Source organism: Homo sapiens, chromosome 12 (assembly GCF_000001405.40).
Source record: "Homo sapiens chromosome 12, GRCh38.p14 Primary Assembly".
NCBI classification, from domain to species: Eukaryota; Metazoa; Chordata; class Mammalia; order Primates; family Hominidae; genus Homo; species Homo sapiens.
Window position 1 is genome coordinate 57,370,984 of NC_000012.12, and position 23,758 is coordinate 57,394,741.

A 23,758-nucleotide genomic window follows, 5' to 3' on the forward strand; every position below is an offset into this window, starting at 1 on the left:
TGATTAGAAGCAGCAACAGAAGACCAAAATTTGTTCTGGTTCAAAATATAAAAATATTTCATCATTACTCCAAGAATGGGAACCAAATATATACCATTACTTTTTTTTTTTTTTTTTTTTTTTTTTTTTTAAGATACACACACAAACTCAGAGACACCCAACAAACTAGGGCAGGCAAACAAAGTTTTACCCTCTTCAGTGCCTAAATGATTAACAGCTACCCTTTTTCTGCCTACAGTAACATAAAAGGGTTAACTGTTTAAAGAAGTAAAGAACACAGGAGTAGCTGTGTATTCATATATCAAAAAGAAAAAAGCAGTGATATCAAGGGAGAGAAAAATATTTTCATGAAAGACAGGATGCAGAAAAAAATAGAACGAAAACAAAAAAGAAACATCAGTTCTGATGTCCTGCAAAACAGAAAAGGTAAGAAATATCATTCAAGATAACTGCCTTGTGCTTAGGTTTTGTCATTCTTCTTCCAAGCCTATAGTCTGTAGTAAGATAAGAAGACAGGCAATGAGAAGAAATACTCCCAAACAAAACAAGCCAATCCCCCACAACCCAAACCCCCAAAACAGAGAATTTCAAGATATCTCCAAATATCCAGGTCATATTTATAACTAAAATGAATCTTGATTTAACATTGTGCTTCTCATAGGGATTTCTCTTTCACCTTTCCTAAATGAGTAACATCAATGCAACAACTATAAAAACAAAAAGTAAATATCATCAGAAAAGCCAGTATAACATAATATCTTTGAGCATAGTCTAAGGGAAGGATATGGCATAGCTTCTCTCTGTCCCACTGCTGCTGAAACAAAATAACAGTAATCCAAAAGTCCGAATGATTTTACAACATATCATAGATTGTCCTTTTTTGTTGTTGTTGTTTAATTTTGAGACGGAGTTTCGCTCTTGTTGCCCAGGCTGGAGTGCAATGGTGCGGTCTCGGCTCACTATAACCTCCGCCTCCCGGGTTCAAGCGATTCTCCTGCCTCAGCCTCCCAAGTAGGTGGGATTGCAGGCATGCACCAACACACCGGGCTAATTTTTTATTTTTAGTAGAGATGAGGTTTCTCCACATTGGTCAGGCTGGTCTTGAACTCCTGACCTCAGGTGATCCACCCACCTTGGACTCTCAAAGTGCTGGGATTACAGGTGTGAGCCACTGCACCCAGCCAACTGTGGCCTGTTCTTATATTATCTCAAAGCCTTCCCAGGATGGACCAGTGGGATTTAACATGAACCAGGTATGTCATCCAAGTTGAAGACAGACACGTGGGTCCTAATGAGCAGTGGTGAAAAAACATAGTGCTCCATTCAGCTCCCAACAATGATAAATAATTCAGGAAAAGAACTGCCGCAATACAGAGCACAGCAGCAGGATTTAAAAATAGACCACAGGCTAGAAAGCCTTGGGGCGGGGGTGTGGGGGGAATCAGGAGTCACAGAGAAAATGGATTTCTGTCAACAAATTCCCAAGCTCTTTGCAATAAAGGGTGCTGCTGAAATTGGCACGCAAACCAAATGCCAAACTCTAATGTACTTCCTCAAAAATCAAATATTTTTCAGGAATTTGGCAAATCTGATAACAAGAGAGCTAATAAACAATGGTACTATTTGGAAAGAGCAGTTATGATAGAGAAAGCAAATCTAAATGACATAGGAAGATATGTTTTTTAAAAAATAAGGGATTAAAACTCGATTTTCCACACCACCAAATTCTAGGTCTAACATCAATTTAGACTTCTACTAATTATGCCTCTAGTACTGAGATAGCACTCAATATTTTGCTATTCCTTTTTCCACCTCTAATAGATCCTACAAGTCAACACATGCAAACACAAGAGTCACACCAATCAATAAAAAGGGTAGCTTGAAAACTGAACAAAATCCATGATTATGGTCTTCCCAGATTTAAATTAAACTCCAACTCTGGCCAAGCATGGGGGCTTGTGCCTGTAATCCCAGCCCTTTGGCAGGAGGCCAAAGTGGGAGGATCGCTTGAGGCCAGGAGATTGATACTAGCCTGGGCAATGTAGTGAGACCCCCATCTCTACAAAAAATTAGCTGGACATGGTGGCACGTGCCTGTAGTCCTAGCTACTTGGGAGGATGAGGTGAGAGAATCACTTGAGCCAAGGAGTTTGAGGCTGCAGTAAGCTATGACTGTGCTGCTGCACTTCAACCTGGATGACAAAGCAAGACTCTGTCTCTAAAAACAGTAATAACAAGCCGGGCGCGGTGGCTCACGCCTGTAATCTCAGCACTTTGGGAGGCCAATGCAGGTGGATCACGAGGTCAGGAGATTGAGATCTTCCTGGCTAGCATGGTGAAACCCCGTCTCTACTAAAAATACAAAAAATTAGCCGGGCGTGGTGGCGGGCGCCTGTAGTACCAGCTACTAAGGAGGCTGAGGCAGGAGAATGGCATGACCCCAGAGGCGGAGCTTGCAGTGAGCCAAGATCGCGCCACTGCACTCCAGCCTGGGTGACAGAGCAAGACTCCGTCTCACAAAAAAAAATGTAATAATAATAATAGAGGCTGGGCACAGTGGCTCACACCTGTAATCCCAGCACTTTGGGAGGCCGAGGTGGGCAGATCACCTGAGGTCGGGAGTTTGAGACCAGCCTGAACAACATGGAGACATCCTGTCTCTACTAAAAATACAAACTTAGCGGGGGGTGGTGGCGCATGCCTATTTGTAATCCCAGCTACTTGGAAGGCTAAGGCAAAAGAATCACTTGAACCCAGGAGGCAGAGGTTGGGGTGAGCTGAGATCGCACCATTGCACTCCAGTCTGGGCAACAAGAGCAAAACTCCTTCTCAAAAATAAATAAATAAATAAATAATAATAATAATAAGGGCGTGGTGGCTCATGCCTGCAATCCTAGCACTTTGGGAGGCCGAGGTGGGCAGATCATCTGAGGTCAGGACTTCAGGACCAGCCTGGCCAACATGGTGAAACCCCGCCTCTACTAAAAACACAAAAATCAGCTGGGGGTGGTGACGGGCACCTGTAATCCCAGCTACTCGGGAGGCTAAGGTAGGAGAATTGCTTGAACCCAGGAGACAGAGGTTGCAGTGAGATGAGATCGCACCACTGCACTCCAGCCTGGGTGCCAGAGCAAGACTCTGTCTCAAAACAAAACAAAAAAATATGGTCCCTGCCCACTCTTAACAATGAAAATACGATGTAATAATGAGCTGCAGTCCCAGCTACTCAGAAGGCTGAGGTGGGAGAATCACCTGAGGCTGGGGAGGTCGAGATTACAGGGACCCGTGATCGTGCCACTGTACTCCAGCCTGGGCAATGGGAGTGAGACCATCTCAAAAAAAAGTATGAAGTCTGATGAATAGTGTGTGGCTGGACAGTCAATCATAAAACTGTTATCTTGAGAATGACAAGAATGACCAGACCAGGCCGGGCGTGGTGGCTCACGTCTGTAATCCCAGCACTTTGGGAGGTCAAGGCAGCCTGAGGTCAGGAGTTCGAGACCAGCCTGGCCAACATGGTAAAACCCTGTCTCTACTAAAAATACAAAAAATTAGCCAGGCATGGTGGCAGGTATCTGTAATCCCAGCTACTTGGGAGGCTGAGGCAGGAGAATTACTTGAACCCAGGAGGCGGAGGTTGCAGTGAGCCAAGATCACGCCATTGCACCCCAGCCTGGGCAAAAAGAGAGAAATTCTATCTTAAAAAAAAAAAAAAAAAAAAAAAAAAAAGGCCGGGCGCGGTGGCTCACGCCTGTAATACTAGCACTTTGAGAGGCTGAGGCAGGCAGATCACGAGGTCAGGAGATCAAGATCATCCTGGCTAACACGGTGAAACCCCGTCTCTACTAAAAATACAAAAAAAAAATAGTCGGGCGTGGTGGCGGGCGCCTGTAGTCCCAGCTACTCTGGAGGCTGAGGCAGGAGAATGGCGTGAACCCGGGAGGCGGAGCTTGCAGTGAGCCGAGATCATGCCACTGCACTCCAGCCTGGGTGACAGAGCAAGACTCCATCTCAAAAAAAAAATAAATAAATAAATAAATAAAATTGAAGTGACATTCACATAAAATTAACCATTTAAAAAAAAAAATGACCAGACCAGACATATTCCACAAACTCAACAATTTATGTGACGAAGAAATAATATTCTGCATCCAAAACTGCATTTCTCTGCAGCCATCAAAATATACACCTCTCAAAAATTAAAAATAAATAAAAATATACACCTCTCTTCATAAGTCTGAGATTAATTTCAGACAACTGGAAATTTTAGGACAATATAAGACAATTTTTATGTCTAATCTCCCTATAAAAGTATAATATAGAATATAAAACCATAATCTGATCCTTTTATACATTACTTTATCCTAAGTAAGCAAACAAATGGTATCGAAAAAAATTCTTGTTCAGTATAAACTGCAAACCAACATATAATCAGATGAATATCAGATGAATATGCTCCTGCCTCACCTATTTTTAGAGGAAAAAAATGGCTATATCTCTTCATAACTGTGCCATTCAACTTACACTGTGCAAAGACCAGAACAGAATGCACTTGGAAGAAGCAGCGTTTTTTCAATTCTTAAATTCTCTAGACTCTATGAGTAAATACTAAACTGTATTTTCAAAGGAGAAACAGGCTGGTTCTTTCAAAATATGGTCCATTTAAAGTACTTATCCAGGTCAGATCAGCTGCTTTTTTTTTTTTTTTTGAGACGGAGTCTTGCTCTGTCGCCAGGCTGGAGTGCAGCGGTGCAATCTCGGCTCACTACAACCTCTGACTCCCTGGTTCAAGCAATTCTCCCGCCTCAGCCTCCCGAGTAGCTGGGATTACAGGCCCACACCACCATGTGCAGCTAATATTTTGTATTTTTAGTAGAGACAGGGTTTCACTATGTTAGCCAGGATGGTCTCGATCTCCTGACCTCGTGATCCACCCACCTCGGCCTCCCAAAGTGCTGGGATTACAGGCGTGAGCCACCATGCCCAGCCAGATCAGCTGCTTTCTAACCCCTCTCCATCAACCAGAGTAAGCCATCATCTCATTCTGTAAACCCAGGCTTTCTTACTATTAACAACAGACAGCATGGTCAAAGGGGCCCAGTTTTGAGTTCTGGCACTCTTGGTCTTGGACCTATTCTGGGTCCTTCATTGAAGATAGAACCACTATGACCCTCCTCTGACTTGCCCATGCCCTCAGGGCAAGATGTCCATGGGACCAGAGGACATACCTACCTGAAGAGCCTTACTCGACTACTCTCAGCTATGCTCCAGATCCCAGGTTTTCCTGCCTAAGCAGCCCCAAACCCCAATCAGGGCCTTCAGTGGATTTCTTCTCATCTCAAACTTTGTCCTTCCATGGACAATAACCTTCTGTTATACACGTTCCATTGCCTGAATGGTGGGCAAGGGACAAACAACGGGAAGGGTACAGATGGAGACTAGGCTTGTAGGATATCCCTGAACCATCCTATTCTGTCTCAAAAAATAATTTCCCCTCAAAGTTCTAACAGTTTTTTAATTTTGATTTACTGGGTGAGGTGGCACATGCCTGTGGTCCCAGCTACTCAGGAAGATGAGGCAGGAGGTTCACTTGAAGCCAGAAGTTCAAGGCTGTAGTGAAATAAAATTATTAAGTTCCTTTTTTAAAAATCTTGATTTATAACTACTAAATATTTAGAAATATGGGGACGGGGGCAGTGGCTCACACCTATACTCCCAACACTTTGGGAGGCTGAGGCAGGCGGATCACCTGAGGTCAGGAGTTTGACACCAGCCTGGCCAACATGACGAAGTCCCATCTCTACTAAAAAATACAAAAATTAGCCAGGTGTGGTGGCAAGTGCCTGTAATCCCAGCTACTTGGGAGGCTGAGACAGAAGAATCACTTGAACTCAGGAGGCGGCGGTTGCAATGAGCCGAGATGACACCACTGCACTCTAGCCTGGGCAAAAGAATGAGACTCAGTAAAAAAAATAAAAAATAAAAAAAAATTTTAAAAAAGGGGCAACCCACTTGGGTCCCCTTCCATGCTGTGGAAGCTTTGTTTTTTCGCTCTTTGCAATAAATCTTGCTGCTGCTCACTCCTTGGGTCCACGCTAAATAAATAAATAAATAAATAAATAAAAGAGACTTGGTCTCAGAAAAAAAAAAAAAATTAAAAATATGGAATGTGGGCTTCCATTCATGCTGTTGCCCAGGGACTGAAGTTGTTAGTAAAACCATGCCCCAAAAACTTAAACCAGTAACTAACAGAAAGTCTTGAGTTTGCAAGATAGCAGATAAGAAACAACTTTCTGAAACACTGAAACTCCTTCTGCTTGTAAGATAACAAAACTGGCTGAAATCAGTTGCAACCAATATAGCCAACTAGAGTTCACTCTGAAGGAGCGTCATCACAGCCTGAATTGCCACCACATGCTTCATATTAACTCCTCCCAAATTTGAACATGGGACCCATGAGGAGTCATGAAGAGATAACTGGGTACTGCCAAGGACTTTCTAGACCTCCCCTTTCCTTCCACCAATCACCTAGTAATCCCAGAATCTACCCGCTAAACCTGTTCTAATAAAATTACTGCACCAGGAGACAGATTTGAGCTTGACTCCTGTGAGTCAACTGGCAATATAAGCTTTTCTTTTCTCAAAAACTCAGTGTCATAGTATTGGCTTGTAGTGCATTGGGCAGCAAGCCCCTTTTGCTTGATAACATTAGGACCATGCCTACCTAGCCCTATCACATACCAGGCTTTGTGATCCTAGATAAGTAATCACCTCTCTAAGCCTCTCTTTATCTCAATGTAAAATAAGCAAGTTGAAACCTTTCGGCCAGGGGCAGTGGCTCACACCTGTAATCTCAGAAGTTTGGGAGGCCGAGGTGGGCGGATTGCTTGAGGTCAGGAGTTTGAGACCAGCCTGACCAACGTGGTAAAACCCCATCTCTACTAAAAATACAAAAATTAGCCAGGTGTGGTGGTGCATGCCTGTAATCCCAGCTACGCGGGAGGCTGAAGGGAGGCTGAAGCAAGAGAATCTCTTGAACCCAGGAGGCGGAGGTTAAAGTGAGCTGAGATCATGCCACTGCACTCCAGCCTGGGTAACAGAGCAAGACACTGTCTCAACAAAAAACAAACAAACAAAAAACACCTTTCATAGGATACTGTGATTATATAATTTTCAAAGTAATTTTGCAGGGTGTCTGGCCCACAGCAAATCTGTAACAAAATGAAACTATTATTACATGCTATGTCATCACTCTGTTTCCTATCATGGGCAAAAAGGGGACATGAAAGGGCAAAAAAGTAGAGCCAATTTCAGATAAACTATAATCAAGAGAGCTGTTTGTGGGTCTCATTTTAAGGATTTGCTTTCATGGATTCCATCTTGGTCTGTCTGGTGGTATTATTTTTCTTTTTTTTGAAACAGGGTCTTGCTCTGTTGTCCAGGCTGGTGTGCAGTGGTGCACTCAAGATTCACTGCAGCCTTAACCCCAGGCTCAAGTGATCCTCCCACCTCAGCCTCCCTAGTAGCTGAGACTACAGGCATATGCCACCACGACTGGCTAATTTTTTGTGTATTTTGTAGAGACAGCGTTTTGCCATGTTGCCCAGGCTGGTCTCAAACTCCTGGACTCAAGACATCCTTCTGCTTTGGCCTCCCAAAGTGCTGCAATTACAGGTCACTGCACCCAGCCTATTTTTCATTCTTCTCACTAAAGTCTAAGTTCTGATTCAGCAATTCTACTTCTGGGTATATATTCAAAAGAATTGAAAATAGGGTCTCAAACAGATATTTGTACATCCATGTTCATAGCAGCACTATTCATAATAGCTACATGGTAGAAGCAAGTGTTTATCAACAAATGAATGGATTTGTTCCAAATGTGGTATATACATGCAACAGAATAATATTCAGCCTTAAAAAGGAAATTCTGACATATGCTGCAACATGGATAACCTTGACGACACGCTAAAGCCAGTCACAAAACGACAAATTCTGTATAATTCCACTTATATGAGGTAGTTAGAATATTCAAAATCATAGAAGACGGAAAGTAGAATGGTACTTGCCAGGGCTGGGGGAAAGGGGGAGAGGAGAATGGGGAATTATTGTTTTATGAGTACAAAATTTCTCAGTTTTACAAAATGAAAATAATTATGGAGAAGGATTGGTGGTGATGGCTGCATGACATCATAAATGTATTTAATACCACTGAACTGTTAAGAGGGTTAATTCTGTTAAAATGGTAAATTTTATGTTATGGTTAAGATGGCAAATTCTGTTATGTGGATTTTAACACAATAAAAAATTGGAAAATGAGGCCAGATGCGGTAGCTCATGCCTGTAATCCCAGCACTTTGGGAGGCCGAGGCAGGCAGATCACCTGAGTTCAGAAGTTTGAGACCAGTCTGACCAACATGGAGAAACCCTGTCTCTACTAAAAATACAAAATAAGCCTGGCGTGGTGACGCATGCCTGTAATCCCAGCTACTCGGGAGGCTGAGGCAGGAGAACAGCTTGAACCTGGGAGGAGGAGGTTGTGGTGAGCTGAGATTGCACCATTGCACTCCAGCCTGGGCAACAAGAGCGAAAATCCGTCTCAAAAAAAAAATAGAAAATGAAAAAAACGATAAGCTCAATAAGGGAAGGGATTTTTTTCTGTTTCTTCACTGCTATATCCCTTACTCTCAGATAGCTCTGACACAATGATTAAGTATTTGTTAAATAAGCTATTGGCCACAAAAAGCAAATATGAAGTGGTTATCTAATATTCCAACATCAAAATATAAGCCTATATATGTAATATATACAATATAATATGTAAGCCAGCTTGGCCTGACCAGAAAATAAATTATATATATATGGCTACTTCACTTAGTGCTTCCTCTAACTTCAGGACAGTTTCCTTAAAAATGAAATTAATGAATATTAGAATATATATTTAATATAAAGGTATTTCTGATCTCTTCAACTTATCTTCCTTACCTGTCTACATAGGCATACTAAAAATACTCAGTAACTCCATACATAATCTCACCAGAGAGAATTACTAGCATAATTCAATTAACTAAGTTGTACTGAAGCTCTAGTTTTAAGCTCCAAATGTAATAGGATGTAACAGAAAGAAGTCCAAAAAAGCAGGTAGGAAAACGAAACCTTTCTTCCTGTTTCTCTTGAGTCTTGAATAATTCAATCCTATTAACTCCTAAAAACTCAAAGCCAAGTCTATGAACTATATCCTATACACCATGACACTCTCAAAAACATATTGTTTTTCAAATTTCCTTAATCAATCCATTTTTATCTTTCTGATGAAAGTTCATTTCCCAACTAAAGGTTAAAATATTATAGAAGTAAGTGATTCAGAATCAAATCTATTCTGAAACAGATTTAAATGACACTAATATTACACAAAAGACCCTTGCAGGTAGACAGAATGATGGCTGGGAAAAGAGAATACAGCAACACATCCTGCAAAGCCTAACTGCAAATTAAAGTGTGGCAACAAGGGGAAGGTTGCAGATGTTCTTTCTGTGTTACACAAGTCCCCATACTAGCCTGGGTACTTATTCAAAGACACAATAAGATTGCATCCTCCATACTGGTCTGATTCCGAAACTTGTCTACAACAAAAGACATCATCTTAAAACTCTTGGTGACCTCAAAATGCTATGAACAAAATACAAATATGATATTCTTGGGCACTGACAAAACAAACTTCTAATACCCCTGAATTCCACTTAGATGGATTAACACAAATCTTCTCTGAACAAAATTCAAAGCTTTCTTAAAAAAAAAGACACAAAAGCCAAAAAGCTACAACATATCAAGACCGAAACTACAATGCTATAAATATCCTGAAATGCCTCAAGGTGTGTAATTACTGAAGCTAATTAGTATTCTCAAAATTAAACATCCACTGCAATGCTCAAGGAATTGGAGAGGTGGGCAGAAAGAAAGAATGGGCAGGCCGGGCACGGTGGCCCACACCTGTAATCCCAGCACTTTCGGAGGCAGAGACGGAAGGATCACCTGAGGTCAGGCATTCGAGACCAGCCTGGCTAACATGGTGAAACCCCGTTTCTACTAAAAATGCAAAACAATAGTCGAGCGTGGTGGTGCACACCTGTAATCCCTGCTACTTGGGAGGCGGAGACAGGAGAATCACTTGAACCCGGGAGGCAGAGGTTGCAGTGAGCTGATATCACGCCATTGCACTCCAACTTGGGCAACAAAAGCGAAACTCCGTCTCAAAAAAATTAACATAAAAATAAGAATGAATGGGCAAATGAGGCCGGGCACGGTGGCTCACGCCTGTAATGCCAGCACTTTGGGAGGCCAAAGTGGGTGGATCACAAGGTCAGGAGTTTAAGACCAGCCTGGCCAACATGGCGAAACCCTGTTTCTACAAAAAATACAGAAATTAGCTGGGCATCTGTAGTGTAATCCCAGCTACTCGGGAGGTTGAGGCAGGAGAATCTCTTGAATCCAGGAGGCGGAAGTTGCAGTGAGCCGAGATCGTACCACTGCACTCCAGCCTGGGCGACAGAACAAGACTCCATCTCAAAAAAAAAAAAAAAAAAAGAATGGGCAAATGAATCCCATCAAAAAGATAAAATTCAGATGTATCTCTAATAAAGAAAAGAAAATAGGATTCTAGAATTAAACAATATAACTTACTGAGAGAAGGAAAATGGTATCGACTTCATAAATCACAACTAAAATGTGACATGTTTATTGATGTTATTCACAGGAAAGTGAGAATTAGGTGGGCAGGCTGAGAATTGCAATTTTATATATACATACATATAGAGAGAGGGGATAGAGATAGAGAGAGAGAGAGACAGAGACATAAACACACAGGGTCTCGCTCTGAGGCCCAGGCTGGAGTGTAGTGGTATAATCATGACTCACTGCAGCCTCAACCTCTCAGACTCAAGCAATCCTCCTATCAGCCTCCTGAGTAGCTGAAACTATACACATGCACCACCATGCCTGGCTAATTTTTTTTTTTCACTTTTGTAGAGATGGGGGTCTCCCTATGTTGCCCAGGCTGGTCTCTAACTCCTGGATTCAAGTGATCCTCCCAACTCAACCTCCCAAAGTGCTGGGACTACAGGTATGAGCCACTGCACCCAGACTTTTTTTTTCTTTTTGGAGGCAGGGTCTCTATTGTTCAGGCTAGAGTGCAATGACACAATCGTGGCTCACTGCATCCTCAACCTCCTAGGCTCAAGAGATCCTCCTACCTCAGTCTCCCAAATACCTGGGACTATAAGCACACACCAACACATCTGGCTAATTTGGTTTTTTTTTTTTGTAAAGTTTCACTATGTTGTCCAGGCTGGTCTCAGACTCCTGGCCTCAAGCAATTCTCCTGCCTCAGCCTCCTGAGCACCTGGAATTATAGGCATGCACCAACATGCCCAGCTAATTTTTGTATTTTTAGTATAGACAGGGTTTCACCATGTTGGCCAGGCTGGTCTGAAACTCCTGACCTCAAGTAATCTGCCTGCCTCAGCCTCTCAAAGTGCTGGGATGAAAGGCGTGAGCCCAGCCTACAAAAAAAAAAAAAAAAAAAAAGGGCTGGCTCACACCTGTAATCCCAGCACTTTGGGAGGCCGAGGAGGGCCGATCACCAGGTCAGGAGATAGAGACCATCCTGGCTAACACAGTGAAACCCTGTCTCTACTAAAAATACAAAAAATTAGCCAGGCGTGGTGGCAGGCACCTGCAGTCCCAGCTACTTGGGAGGCTGAGGCAGGAGAATGGCTTGAACCCAGGAGGCGGAGCTTGCAGTGAGCTGAGATCATGCCACTGCACTCCAGCCTGGGCGACAGAGAGAGACTCCATCTCAAAAATAAATAACTAAATAAAAAATAAAATAATTTTTATTTATTTATTTATTGAGACGGAGTCTCGCTCTTGTTGCCCAGTCTGGAGTGCAATGGCGCAATCTCGCCTGACTGCAACCTCTCACTGCAACCTCTGCCTCCCGGGTTCAAGCAATTCTCATGCCTCAGCCTCCTGAATAGCTGGGTTTACAGGCATGCACCACCAGGCCCGGCTAATTTTTGTATTTTTAGTAAAGTCTTGAACTCCTGACCTCAGGTGATCCACCGGCCTTGGCCTCCCAAAGTTCTGGGATTATAGGCGTGAGCCACAGCGCCCAGCCAAAAAAAATTTTTTTATTAGCCGAATGTGGTGGTGCATGCCTGTAGTCCCAGCTACTTGGGAGGCTGAGGTGAGAGGATCGCTTGAGCCAAGGAGGTCAAGGCTGCAGTGAGCTGTGGTCACGCCGTTGCACTCCAACCTGGAGTGAGACCCTGTCTCTAAATAAATAAATAAAGGTTAGCTATTATTTTGTGTTATTATTAAGTCTTCTTTAATACATTGGGATCACAATTTGTAAAATCTGGAAGAATTAATAATAATGTGATCGGCAGGGCGCTGTGGCTAATGCCTGTAATCCCAGCACTTTGGAAGGCCGAGGTGGGTGGATCACCTGAGGTCAGGAGTTCAAGACCAGCCTGGCCAACATGGTGAAACCCCATCTCTACAAAAATACAAAAAAAAAAATTAGCTGGACATGATGGTGGGTGCCTGTAATCCCAGCTGCTCGGGAGGCTGAGGCAGGAGAAACGCTTGAACCCAGGAGGTGGAGGTTGCGGTGAGCCGAGATCATGCACTCCAGCCTGGGTAACAGAGCGAGACTCCGTCTCAAAAACAAACAAACAAAATAATAATAATAATAATATCTGTTATACAGCTCCTCCTAAACTGAGGGTCCTGCTTGCTTAGAATGAACAGAATAAGAAGGTCCAGAGGGATATCAGATTTTAAGGACCTCAATATGCACATTTGTTCTGGGAGTAAATATTAGATACAATCTAATATTCCTGTTCCAAAAAAATAAAATTCCCTGACAAACAAGTAAAAACTGTATTATGTTAAGGGCTAGCTCAAGCTGCTCACAAGGTAAGCCATGCAGGGAGCAGGTATCTAGATCAGACCATTGGAAAGGCTTCAGAAGGAGGGAATACTTAAGCCTGATCCTCTAGGATAAGTAATATTTAGCCAAATAGAAAAGTATGGAAACAGGCCGGGCGCAGTGGCTCAAGCCTGTAATCCCAGCACTTCGGGAGGTCGAGGCGGGTGGATCACGAGGTCAGGAGATCAAGACCACGGTGAAACCGTCTCTACTAAAAATACAACAACAAAAAAATTAGCCGGGCACGGTGGTGGGCGCCTGTAGTCCCAGCTACTCGGGAGGCTGAGGCAGGAGAATGGCGTGAACCCGGGAGGCAGAGCTTGCAGTGAGCCGAGATCACGCCACTGCACTCCAGCCTGGGTGACAGAGCAAGACTCTGTCTCAAAAAAAAAAAAAGAAAAGAAAAGTAGGGAAACAAGCCTATGTTCCTTGAGATTATTTTAGAGGTTTAACAAGAGATCAATCATCTCTCTCAGTTTCCTCATCTATAAAACAGAATAATAAGAGTACTTCTTTTGGAAGGCTGTATAAAAAAAATAACATATGTAAAGTACATAGAAAAGTGCAAACTCAACACTGTTAATACAGATGTACAGGTCACCATGATTTTTTCTCAGAGCTGCAAGTATTGCATAAAGAAAGCTATAACATAAAGGTATCCATGGAGAAATGAATGGCTTGAGAAGAATCTAGAGAGGTTAGTAGAAACAGGATTATAAAAAGTCTTACATACTAATAAAGCTGTAAGAAACTCATAAAGGACTTTTGGAAAGGAGTTACATCATCAGATTTCTATTTTAGAAAGATTACTTTTTCTACAATGTGAATGGCTTAGAAAAAAAAGAATAGAGGCAAAAACACTAGATAGAAAAAAATGTGAAAAGTACTCTGGCCCAGGCCAGGCGTGGTCGCTCACACGTGTAATGCCAGCACTTTGGGAGGCCGAGGCGGGTGGATCACGAGGTCAGGAGTTCAAGACCAGCCTGGCCAAAACGGTGAAACCCCATCTCTACTAAAAATACTAAAATTAGCTGGACGTTGTGGCAGGTGCCTGTAATCCCAGCTACTCAGGAGGCTGAGGCAGAGAACTGCTTGAACCCAGGAGGTGGAGGTTGCAGTGAGCAGATATCACAAGATCGAGCCACTGCACTCCAGCCTGGGCAACAGAGTGAGACTCCATCTCAAACAAACAAACAAATAAGAAGAAAAGTACTCTGGCTGTAGAATGAGGGGACTCTGACTTAAGATACATTGAGGAGATAAAAACTTAAAGACTTTTTTTTTTTTTTTGAGACGGAGTCTCACTCTGTCGCCCAGGCTGGAGTGCAATGGCGCAATCTGGCTCACTGCAAGCTCTACCTCCTGGGTTCACGCCATTCTCCTGTCTCAGCCTCCCAAGTAGCTGGGACTTACAGGCGCCTGCCACCACGCCCAGCTAATTTTTTGTATTTTTAGTAGAGAGGGGGTTTCACCGTGTTAGCCAGAATGGTCTCGATCTCCTGACCTCGCGATCCGCCCACCTCAGCCTCCCAAAGTGCTGGGATTACAGGCATGAGCCACCATGCCTGGCCTAACTTTAAGACTTTTATCTGGGGGTGGTGGCACACACCTGTGGTCCCAGCTAGTCGGGAGGCTGAGATGGGAAGATCACTTGATCCTGAGAGGTCGAGGCTGCAGTGAGCCCTGCACTCCAGCCTGGGCAACACAGCAGGACCCCGTCTTCAAAAAAAAAAAAAGACTTAGTAACATATGAGATGTGTGTAATGACTGGGAGAGAAGACATCTAAGAAGACACCTGGGGGACTAGACAGAAGAGCAGCTCTCAAAGTGTGGCCTGGAACCCCTGGGAATCCCCAAGACTTTCATGGAAACTACATGGTCAAAACCATTTTCAGAGTAGTAGTAAAACCCTGTTTGTCTTTTTCACTGTCATGCTCTCATGGGTGTATGGTAGCATTTTCCAGAAGATATATGAAATGGAATATTGTAACTAATTTGAATGAAAATGCAGTTATGAGAATCCAGCTGTCTTCTATTAGTACCATCATTAAAAATAATTACAAAAATAAAAAAAATGCCACATTTCTCACCACATTTTGTTGCTGCTGTTTTGTAAAAAGTTATTTTTCATACAAATTTATGTTAACATGCAATAGGTTTGAGAGGTGACAGCGTGCTGGCAGCGCTCGCAGCCCTCCCTCGCTCTGGGGGCCTCCTCTGCCTGGGCTCCCACTTTGGCGGCACTTGAGGAGCCCTTCAGCCCACCGCTGCACTGTGGGAGCTCCTTCCTGGGCTCGCCGAGGCGGGAGCCGGCTCCCTCAGCTTGCGGGGAGGTGTGGACGGAGAGGCACGGGCGGGAACCGAGGCTGCCCATGGCGCTTGCGGGCCAGCACGAGTTCCGGGTGGGAGTGGGCTCGGCAGGCTCCGCACTCGGAGAGGCCAGCCGGCCCCGCCCACCAGGGCAGTGAGGGGCTTAGCACCTGGGCAAGCAGCTGCTGTGCTCGACTTCTTGCCGGGCCTTAGCTGCCTCCCCTCGGGGCAGGGCTTGGGACCTGCAGCCCGCCATGCCTGAGCCTCCCCCCGCTTCTGTGGGCTCCTGCGCAGCCTGAGCCTCCCTGACGAGCGCCGCCCCCTGCTCCACCGCGCCCAGTCCCACGGACAGCCTAAGGGCTGAGCAGTGCAGGCCCACTGTGCAGGACTCGCAGGCAGCTCCACCTGCAGCCCCAGTGCAGGATCCACTGGGTGAAGCCAGCTGGGCTCCTAAGTCTGGTGGGGACTTGGAGAATCTTTATGTCTAGCTAAGGGATTGTAAATACACCAATCAGCACTCTGTATCTAGCTCAAGGTTTGTAAACTCACCAATCAGCACCCTGTGTCTAGCTCAGGGTTTGTGAATGCACCAATTGGCACTTGGTATCTAGTTAATCTGGTGGGGACTTGGAGAACCTTTATGTCTAGCTAAGGAGTTGTGAATGCACCTTTGGCACTCTGTATCTAGCTCAAGGTTTGTAAATACACCAATCAACACTCTGTATCTAGCTAATCTAGTGGGCTGCATATAGCTAATCTAGTGGGGACGTGGAGAACTTTTGTGTCTAGCTCAGGGACTGTAAATGCACCAATCAGCTCTCTGTAAAATGGACCAATCAGCAGGATATGGGTGGGGTCAGATAAGAGAATAAAAGCAGGCTGCCCGAGCCACCAGTGGCAACCGGCTGGGGTCCCCTTCCACACTGTGGAAGCTTTGTTCTTTCGCTCTTTGCAATAAATCTTGCTGCTGCTCACTCTTTGGGTCCACACTGCCTTTATGAGCTGTAACACTCACCGCAAAGGTCTGTAGCTTCACTCCTGAAGCCAGCGAGACCACGAACCCACCAGAAGGAAGAAACTCCGAACACATCCGAGCATCAGAAGGAACAAACTCCAGACACACCGCCTTTAAGAACTGTGACACTCACCGCAAGGGTCCGTGGCTTCATTCTTGAAGTCAGTGAGACCAAGAACCCACCAATTCTGGACAAAGGTTTACTGTCACTTTTAGTAAATTTATACTTTTTAAAAATAGGTATTTTAAATTTTCTCAGTTTTAACTTCTAATCATTAATATTTAATGTTATAACTCACAAAGACAAAAGCTCTCTGGAGATTTCAATCATTTTTAAGAGTGTTAAGGGGTTCTGATACCAGAAAGTTTGAGAACCACTGAGTGAATAATATTTCTACTCACTGAAATATGAATACTGAAGAAGAAACCAGTTTGGAAAGAAAAAGTTCTGTTTCATACATAATAAATATGTTATGCCCATGGGCGGACAAAAAGTGTCCAATGGATAGTTACACCAGTGGAACTGGAAATCTAGAACACCAAACTGAGAGTAGTTGAAACCTTGGATTTTAAACAGGGTCACAGAGGGAGAAAACACAATGAAAACAGTGGCAGAGTAACCAAAGAAAAGGCTAGAAGAGAAGCAGGGGCCTCAAGACAGACAAAAAAAATTTTTTTTTTTTAAAAAGACAAAGTCTTGCTCTTGTCCCCCAGGTGGGAGTGCAATGGCGGGATATCAGCTCACTGCAAACTCCGCCTCCCAGGTTCAAGCGATTCTCTTGCCTCAGCCTCCCAACTAGCTGGGATTACAGGCGCCTGCCACCATGCCTGGCTAATTTTTGTATTTTTAGTAGAGATGGGGTTTCACCATGTTGGCCAGGCTGACCTGGAACTCATGACCTCAGGTGATCTGCCCGCCTCAGCCTCCCAAAGTGCTGGGATTACAGGCGTGAGCCACCACACCTGGCCAAGACACACCAATATTTAAAGGGATAAAGAAGAGGAGTATTTTGAGTGGCAACTATCTGGGGCCAGTGTCATGCAGGCAGTAAAAAGAATTTACCAAGACAGTTGTAGGTAAAGAAAGGCATATTTATTTATTAGCGAAAGTAGGAAAATATGTTGTAAGAAAGCAAACGACAAGTCAGCAAGAGAAGAACTGGCTGCCAGGAGACACAAAGGCTTGCTTGCTGGGGATTCTATAAGATGGTGCTTGTGCTGTGTGCTGAAGAGGGTTAATGATAACACCTTGTGCAGTACTGACAATGTCAAGGTTGCAGTGAGCTAACTTGCATTTTTCTATCAGCTGAGGGTCTGGTGATAGCTGGGTGCAGGAAGATTATGAGTTATTTGCGCAGGAGGGCTATGTGTCCTGGACCACGAAGGCAGTTACAGCTTATCTGCTTTCTCTTTTTGCATTCCCTTGGTCCCGCCAGCCTGACTCCTTTTCCCGAATTAGGACTCCACATGGAAGAGGCTTCCATATGGAGGGGGAAAAAGTTATAAAAATGAGAAATAAAATAAAATGTAAGAGGACATCACTAGCTATAAATTAAAGAAAAAAAAGATGGTCAGGGCTTTGAAGAAAAGAAAAAACAGCAAAAACCGAATCCATAACTAGTAGTGGGAGATACAGAATGAAAAAATGAAATCCAGCATTAACTCCAAAATCTGATTTTCACCAAATATTTCAATCCTTTCTCATATAATACTTTTTTTCTTATCAGGGTTACTAATAAACAACAGAATGGTTTTGGACTCATCTCCTTTGCCTTCTTGGTCTACCCTCCAGAGGAAATGCAAACAAGAAGGAAAATAACCAAAAGGATAGAGATGGGAGGAAAAGGAAAGATCCCCTGAAACGTTAGGAGGGAAGTGACTGATGCAGTGACTCAATGAAGAGACATTCGTTCATGCAGCAAATAACTACTGAGTAACCACTTGCAAAGCACCATGATAGGCAATGTTGAAAATAGCTGACTAATATACAAAGCTATACCCAGGTTCATCAGCAGAAGCAACAGGCTGGAAATACAAATAAAACTCTACTGGTAAGACGAGCACAGAGGCAGCTCTATTCCAAAGGTGGTTCTAGGAGATGACTCCAAGAGCTCAAAGTCATCTAATTATTGAAAAGTGGCCTAATTCCAGAAAATAACTCCAAAGGAATATTTCAAATGTTTGATAGCCTGTGGCAATGCCATGTCTTGCTGAGTTTTTTACACAGATAAGCACACCTTGGAATACACAGATAAATCTTTAAGAAATCTTAGTATATACACTACATTGTCAAACTCTGATCTAAGCTCTAAAACAAATAATAAAGCTCAGAGAGAATTACCTAGCCAGATGCACTTAGGTTGGAAAGGCTGCTTTAATTGGTCAACCTACCCTTTAAATGTAGAAGTTGTGATTTTATAAACATGACCATATTTTTTAACAAAGAATAAAAAGATTAGAATAGAAAAAAAGCATATGATAACACCCAGAATTCAGCATTATATCCAAAAAGAACCCTGAACAAGAAAGGATATATTATCATGCACAAGCTGTCACTAAAATATTTTCACACCATCATCTTGTGCTATGGTAGCTGACCTACTTCTAGCTCTAAGCCTGTATCTGATTGATTTGCAATTTTCTGGAATTATGTGGGCTTCAAGAGACACTGAACAACATCAGAAGTATCTTTTTTGTCTGAGCTCTATTTGGCTGCCGTTCCCTTTTCAAGAATTCGAGAAACAAAGGAATTATTGGATAGTAGTCAGTAACAATAGGTGTAATAATGCTAATGAAAACTTTACAGGTTGGGGGAGGGGATTCCACTTCTGGCTAACAGAGTAACAAGAATCAGAATACCTTCTAGGAGAAATAACTAAAAAAAAAAAAGAAAGAAAGAAAAAAAGAAAAAATATATGAAACAATAGTTTTTAAGTTACTGGGCATCAGGCAGTGAACGATAGTGATTCCTTGGGAGATGGGAAACAAGTGAGGTGAGTCCTGTGATTATCCAGGCTTAATCCCTAAACAGTGTTTCCAAGAAATGTAACAGGGAAGGAGAGTCTAAGGGGAACAAGGGCAGAGTCCAGCATGCTCCCTGAGTGAAGAAAATAGGACTGAGGCCAAATGCAGTGGCTCACATCTGAAATCCCAGCACTTTGGGAGGCTGAGACAGGAAGATCACTGGAGCTCAGGAGTTCAAGACCAGCTTGGCAACATAGTGAGACCCCATCTTTACCAAAAATAAAATAATTAGCCAAGCAAGGCGGAATGTACCAGTGGTCCCAGCACTTTGGGAGGCTGAGGCAAGAGGATCACTTGAGCCCAGGAGTTCGAGGCTGCAGTGAGCCATGATCACACTGCTGCCCTCCAGCCTTGATGACAGAGTGAAATCCGTCTCAAAAAAAAAGGAAGAAAGAAATATGTAATTACCAGGCTGGGTGAGGTGGCTCACGCCTGCAATCCCAGCACTTTGGGAGGTGAGGCGGGTGGATTACCTGAGGTCAGGAGTCTGAGACCAGCCTGGCCAACATGGTGAAACCCTGTCTCTACTAAAAATACAGGAAATTAGCCAGGTGTGGTGGTGGTTGCCTGTGATCCCAGCTTTTCAGGAGCCTGAGACAGAAGAATCACTTGAACCCGGGAAGCAGAGGTTGCAGTGAGCCGAGATCATGCCACTGCACTCCAGCCTGGGCAACAACAACAAAACTCCGTCTCAAATAAAAAAAAAAAAAAGAAAGAAAGAAAAGAAATATCTAATTACCATACCCCCAGCAATTAGACTCTTAAGCATTTATCACAGACAAATAAAAACTAATAATTATACAAAAATCTGGACATGAATATTCATAGTAGATTTATATGCAATAGATGAAAATTGGAACCAACACAGAAGTCCTTCAACAGGTGAATGATTAAGCAAATGCGTACAGCTACACCATGGAACGCTACTCAGCAATCAAAAGGAACAAATTATTGATACATCTAACAACTTTGATGAATCTCCAGATAATTAAGCTAAGTGGGGCAGGGGTTGGGGTAAGCCAATCTCAAAAAGAAAAAAAGCCAACTGTATATACTATAGGATTCCATCTGTGTAATGTTTTTGAAATAACAATATTATATTAGTGGTTTCCAGGGAATGGGATGGAGGGAGGCAGGTGTAGTTATAAAAGGGCAACAAGAAAGATCCTTGTGGGGATGGAACTGTTTTGCATCTTCACAGTGATGGTAGATACACAAATTCACACATTATGAAATTCAAACACCGACATACACAAATACAAGTACATGTAAAACTGGACAAAGCTGAATAAACTCTGTAAATTTTACCAATGGCTACTTCCTAACTTTAATATTGTACTATAGTTATGTGATGTTACCAATGGAAGACACTGAGTAAAAGGACATCATAGGATATTCCTATACTCTTTTTGCAACTTCCTATAAATCTATACTTGTTTCACAATGAAAAGTTAAAATAAATAACTGATAAATGATACAAATTATAGAATCTGTAAAGACACTTGAAAAGTTATTACCACTATATTCCACATGTGCAAAGAGCTATAGTAAAAAGTGAGCGGCTGGGCCCAGTGGCTCAAGCCTGTAATCCCAGCACTGTGGGAGGCTGAGGCGGGTGGATTACCTGAGGTCAGGAGTTGGAGACCAGCCTGGCCAACATGGCAAAATCCTGTCTCTACTAAAAATACAAAAAATTAGCCAGGTGTGGTGGTGGGCACCTGTAATCCCAGCAATTTGGGAGGCCAAGGCAGGAGAATCACTTCAACCTGGGAGGTGGAGGTTGCAGTGAGCCGAGATCGTGCAACTCCTATGCTCAAGTGATCCTCCTACCTCAGGCCTCCCAAGTAGCTGAGACTACAGGCTTCATGAACCACCACACCCAGCTAAGGGAAAATCTTAAAAGCAGCCAGAGCAAAAGGACACAAATAACAGCGGTTTCCAACCTTTTTGGCACCAAGGACCAGTTTTGTTGAAGACAAATTTTCCATGGACAGTAAGGCGATGGTTTCAGGATGAAACTGTTCCACCTCAGATCATCAGGCATTAGATTTGCCTAAGGACTATACAACCTAGATCACTCACATGCACAGTTCACAATAGAGTTCACACTCCTATGAGAATCTAATGCCACTGCTGATCTGACAGGAGGCTGAGTTCAGGGGGTAATGTTCACTCGCCTGCCGCTTACCTCTTGGACCAGCACTGGTCCATGGCCCAGGGACTGGGGAACCCTGACATATAGAAGAACAAAGATAAAGATGACAACAGAATTCTCTCTCTTTTTTATTTTTGAGATGGAGTTTCACTCTTGTTGCCCAGGCTAGAGTGCAATGGCGCGATCTCGGCTCACCACAACCTCCGCCTCATTGGAAGCTATTCAAGCCCAAAGACAATGAAGTATCTTTAAAAACTAAAGCCAAGTGTGGTGGCTCATGTCTACAATCCCAGCACTTTGGGAGCCCAGCAGTTCAATTCTATAGTACACTTTTTTTTTTTTTTTTTTTTGCTAGAGTCTCGCTCTGTCGCCCAGGCTGGAGTGCAGTGGCACGATTTTGGCTCACCGCAAGCTCCACCTCCTGGGTTCACGCCATTCTCCTGCCTCAGTCTCCGGAGTAGCTGGGACTACAGGCACCTGCCACCACGCCCAGCTAATTTTTTGTATTTTTAGTAGAGACAGGGTTTCACCATGTTAGCCAGTATGGTCTCAATCTCCTGACCTCGTGATCCACCCGCCTTGGCCTCCCAGAGTGCTGGGATTACAGGCGTCAGCCACTGCGCCAGGCATTTTTTTTTTTTTTTCTTCAGAAGGAGTCTCGCTCTGTCGCCCAGGCTGGAGTGCAATGGTGCGATCTTGGCTCACTGCAACCTCCACCTCCCAGTTTCAAGCAATTCTCCTGCCTCAGCCTCCCCAGTAGCTCGGACTACAGGCACCCACCAATATGCCCGGCTAATTTTGGAATTTTTAGTAGAAACGGGGTTTCATCATATTGGCCAGACTGGTCTAGAACTCCTGACCTCAGGTAATCCACCTGCCTTGGCCTCCCAAGTGCTGGGATTACAGGCATAAGCCAGGACACCCAGCCTATAGTACACTTGAACTCGTAGTGCCTGTGAATAGCCACTATACTCCAGCCTGGGCAACACAGCAAGACCTCATCTCTAACAAAATAAAATAAAACAAAATAACATAAAGATTATCCAGTTTGGGGAACAAAAAGAAAAAAGAATGAAGAAAAATGAACAAAGTCTGAGAGACCTGTGGGACACCATCAAGCATACTAACAAATACATACTAGGAGTCCTATGAGAGGAGAAAAAGAGGCAAGAATAATATTTAGTAAAATAATGGCCAAAAGCTCAAATTTGATGAAAATCACTCATCTATACATCCAGGAAGCTCAATAAATTCCAACCAGGAAAAACTCAGAGATCTACACCTAGGCATACAATCAAACTCTTAAAAAACAAAGACAAAGAGAATCTTGAAAGCGGCACAAGTGTCTTATCACACAAGAGATCCTTGAGATAACACATATTTTTCATCAGAAACCATGGAAGCTAAAATAATGTAAACCAAACATTCCCAAAATCCAGCAAAACTATCCTTCAAAAACAAAGGAGAAAAAGATATTCCCAGATAAACAGAAAGACATAATTCATCACTAGCAGACCTACTCTACAAGAAATGGCTCTACTCTAGGCTGGGTGTGGTGGCTCATATCTGTAATCCCAACACTTTGGGAGGCCGAGGTGGGCTCCTGAGGTCAGGAGTTTGAGACTAGCCTGGCCAACATGGAAAAATCCCATCTCTACTAAAAATACAAAAAATTAGCCAGGTGTGGTGGCATACACCTGTAATCCCAGCCACTCGAGAGGCTGTTGTGTAAGAATCGCTTGAATCTGGGAGGCAGAGGTTAAAGTGAGCCGAGATCGCGCCACTGCACTCCAGCCTGGGTGACAGAGCAAGAGCCTGTCTCAAAAAAAAAAAAAGAAAAGAAATGGCACAGCGGGCACGGTGGTGGCTCATGCCTGTAATCCCAGCACTTTGGGTGGCTGAGGTGGGCAGATCATTTGAGGTCAGGAGTTCTAGACCAGCCTGGCCAACATGGCGAAACCCCGTCTTGTACTTGTAGTTCCAGCTACTCGGGAGGCCAAGGCAGGAGAATCACTTGAACCCGGGAGGCGGAGGTTGCAGTGAGTGAACTGAGATGGCGCATGTATACCTTTAATATGTGCAGTTTACTGTATGTCAACTACACTTCAATAAAGGTCTTTTTTTAAAAAGACAGAGAAAGAAAAATAGGACAAATGTATTAATGCTGGCCACTCAATAACTGATATGATAGTACTGCAATTAATGTAATCTGTATATAAGCATTTAAATGCACCAAGAAGGGTCCTATAAGCAACTCTAATAAGGCT

The 23,758-nt window shown here is 43.5% G+C and overlaps 1 protein-coding gene across 40 annotated transcripts in view, besides 1 other annotated feature; it reads right to left on the bottom strand.

The window, feature by feature from the left end:
- R3HDM2 (R3H domain containing 2) overlaps nt 1-23,758 on the bottom strand; it is a 177,378-nt gene that overhangs the window by 117,220 nt on the left and 36,400 nt on the right. The gene's annotated exons all lie outside the window — the stretch shown is intronic.
- Nucleotides 1,343-1,637: a silencer, noted in NCBI's record as "tiled region #7317; HepG2 Repressive non-DNase unmatched - State 23:Low". NCBI's record gives its function as "represses a minimal TATA promoter and a strong SV40 promoter by Sharpr-MPRA in HepG2 cells {active_cell/tissue: HepG2}" and the evidence as "EXISTENCE:reporter gene assay evidence [ECO:0000049][PMID:27701403]".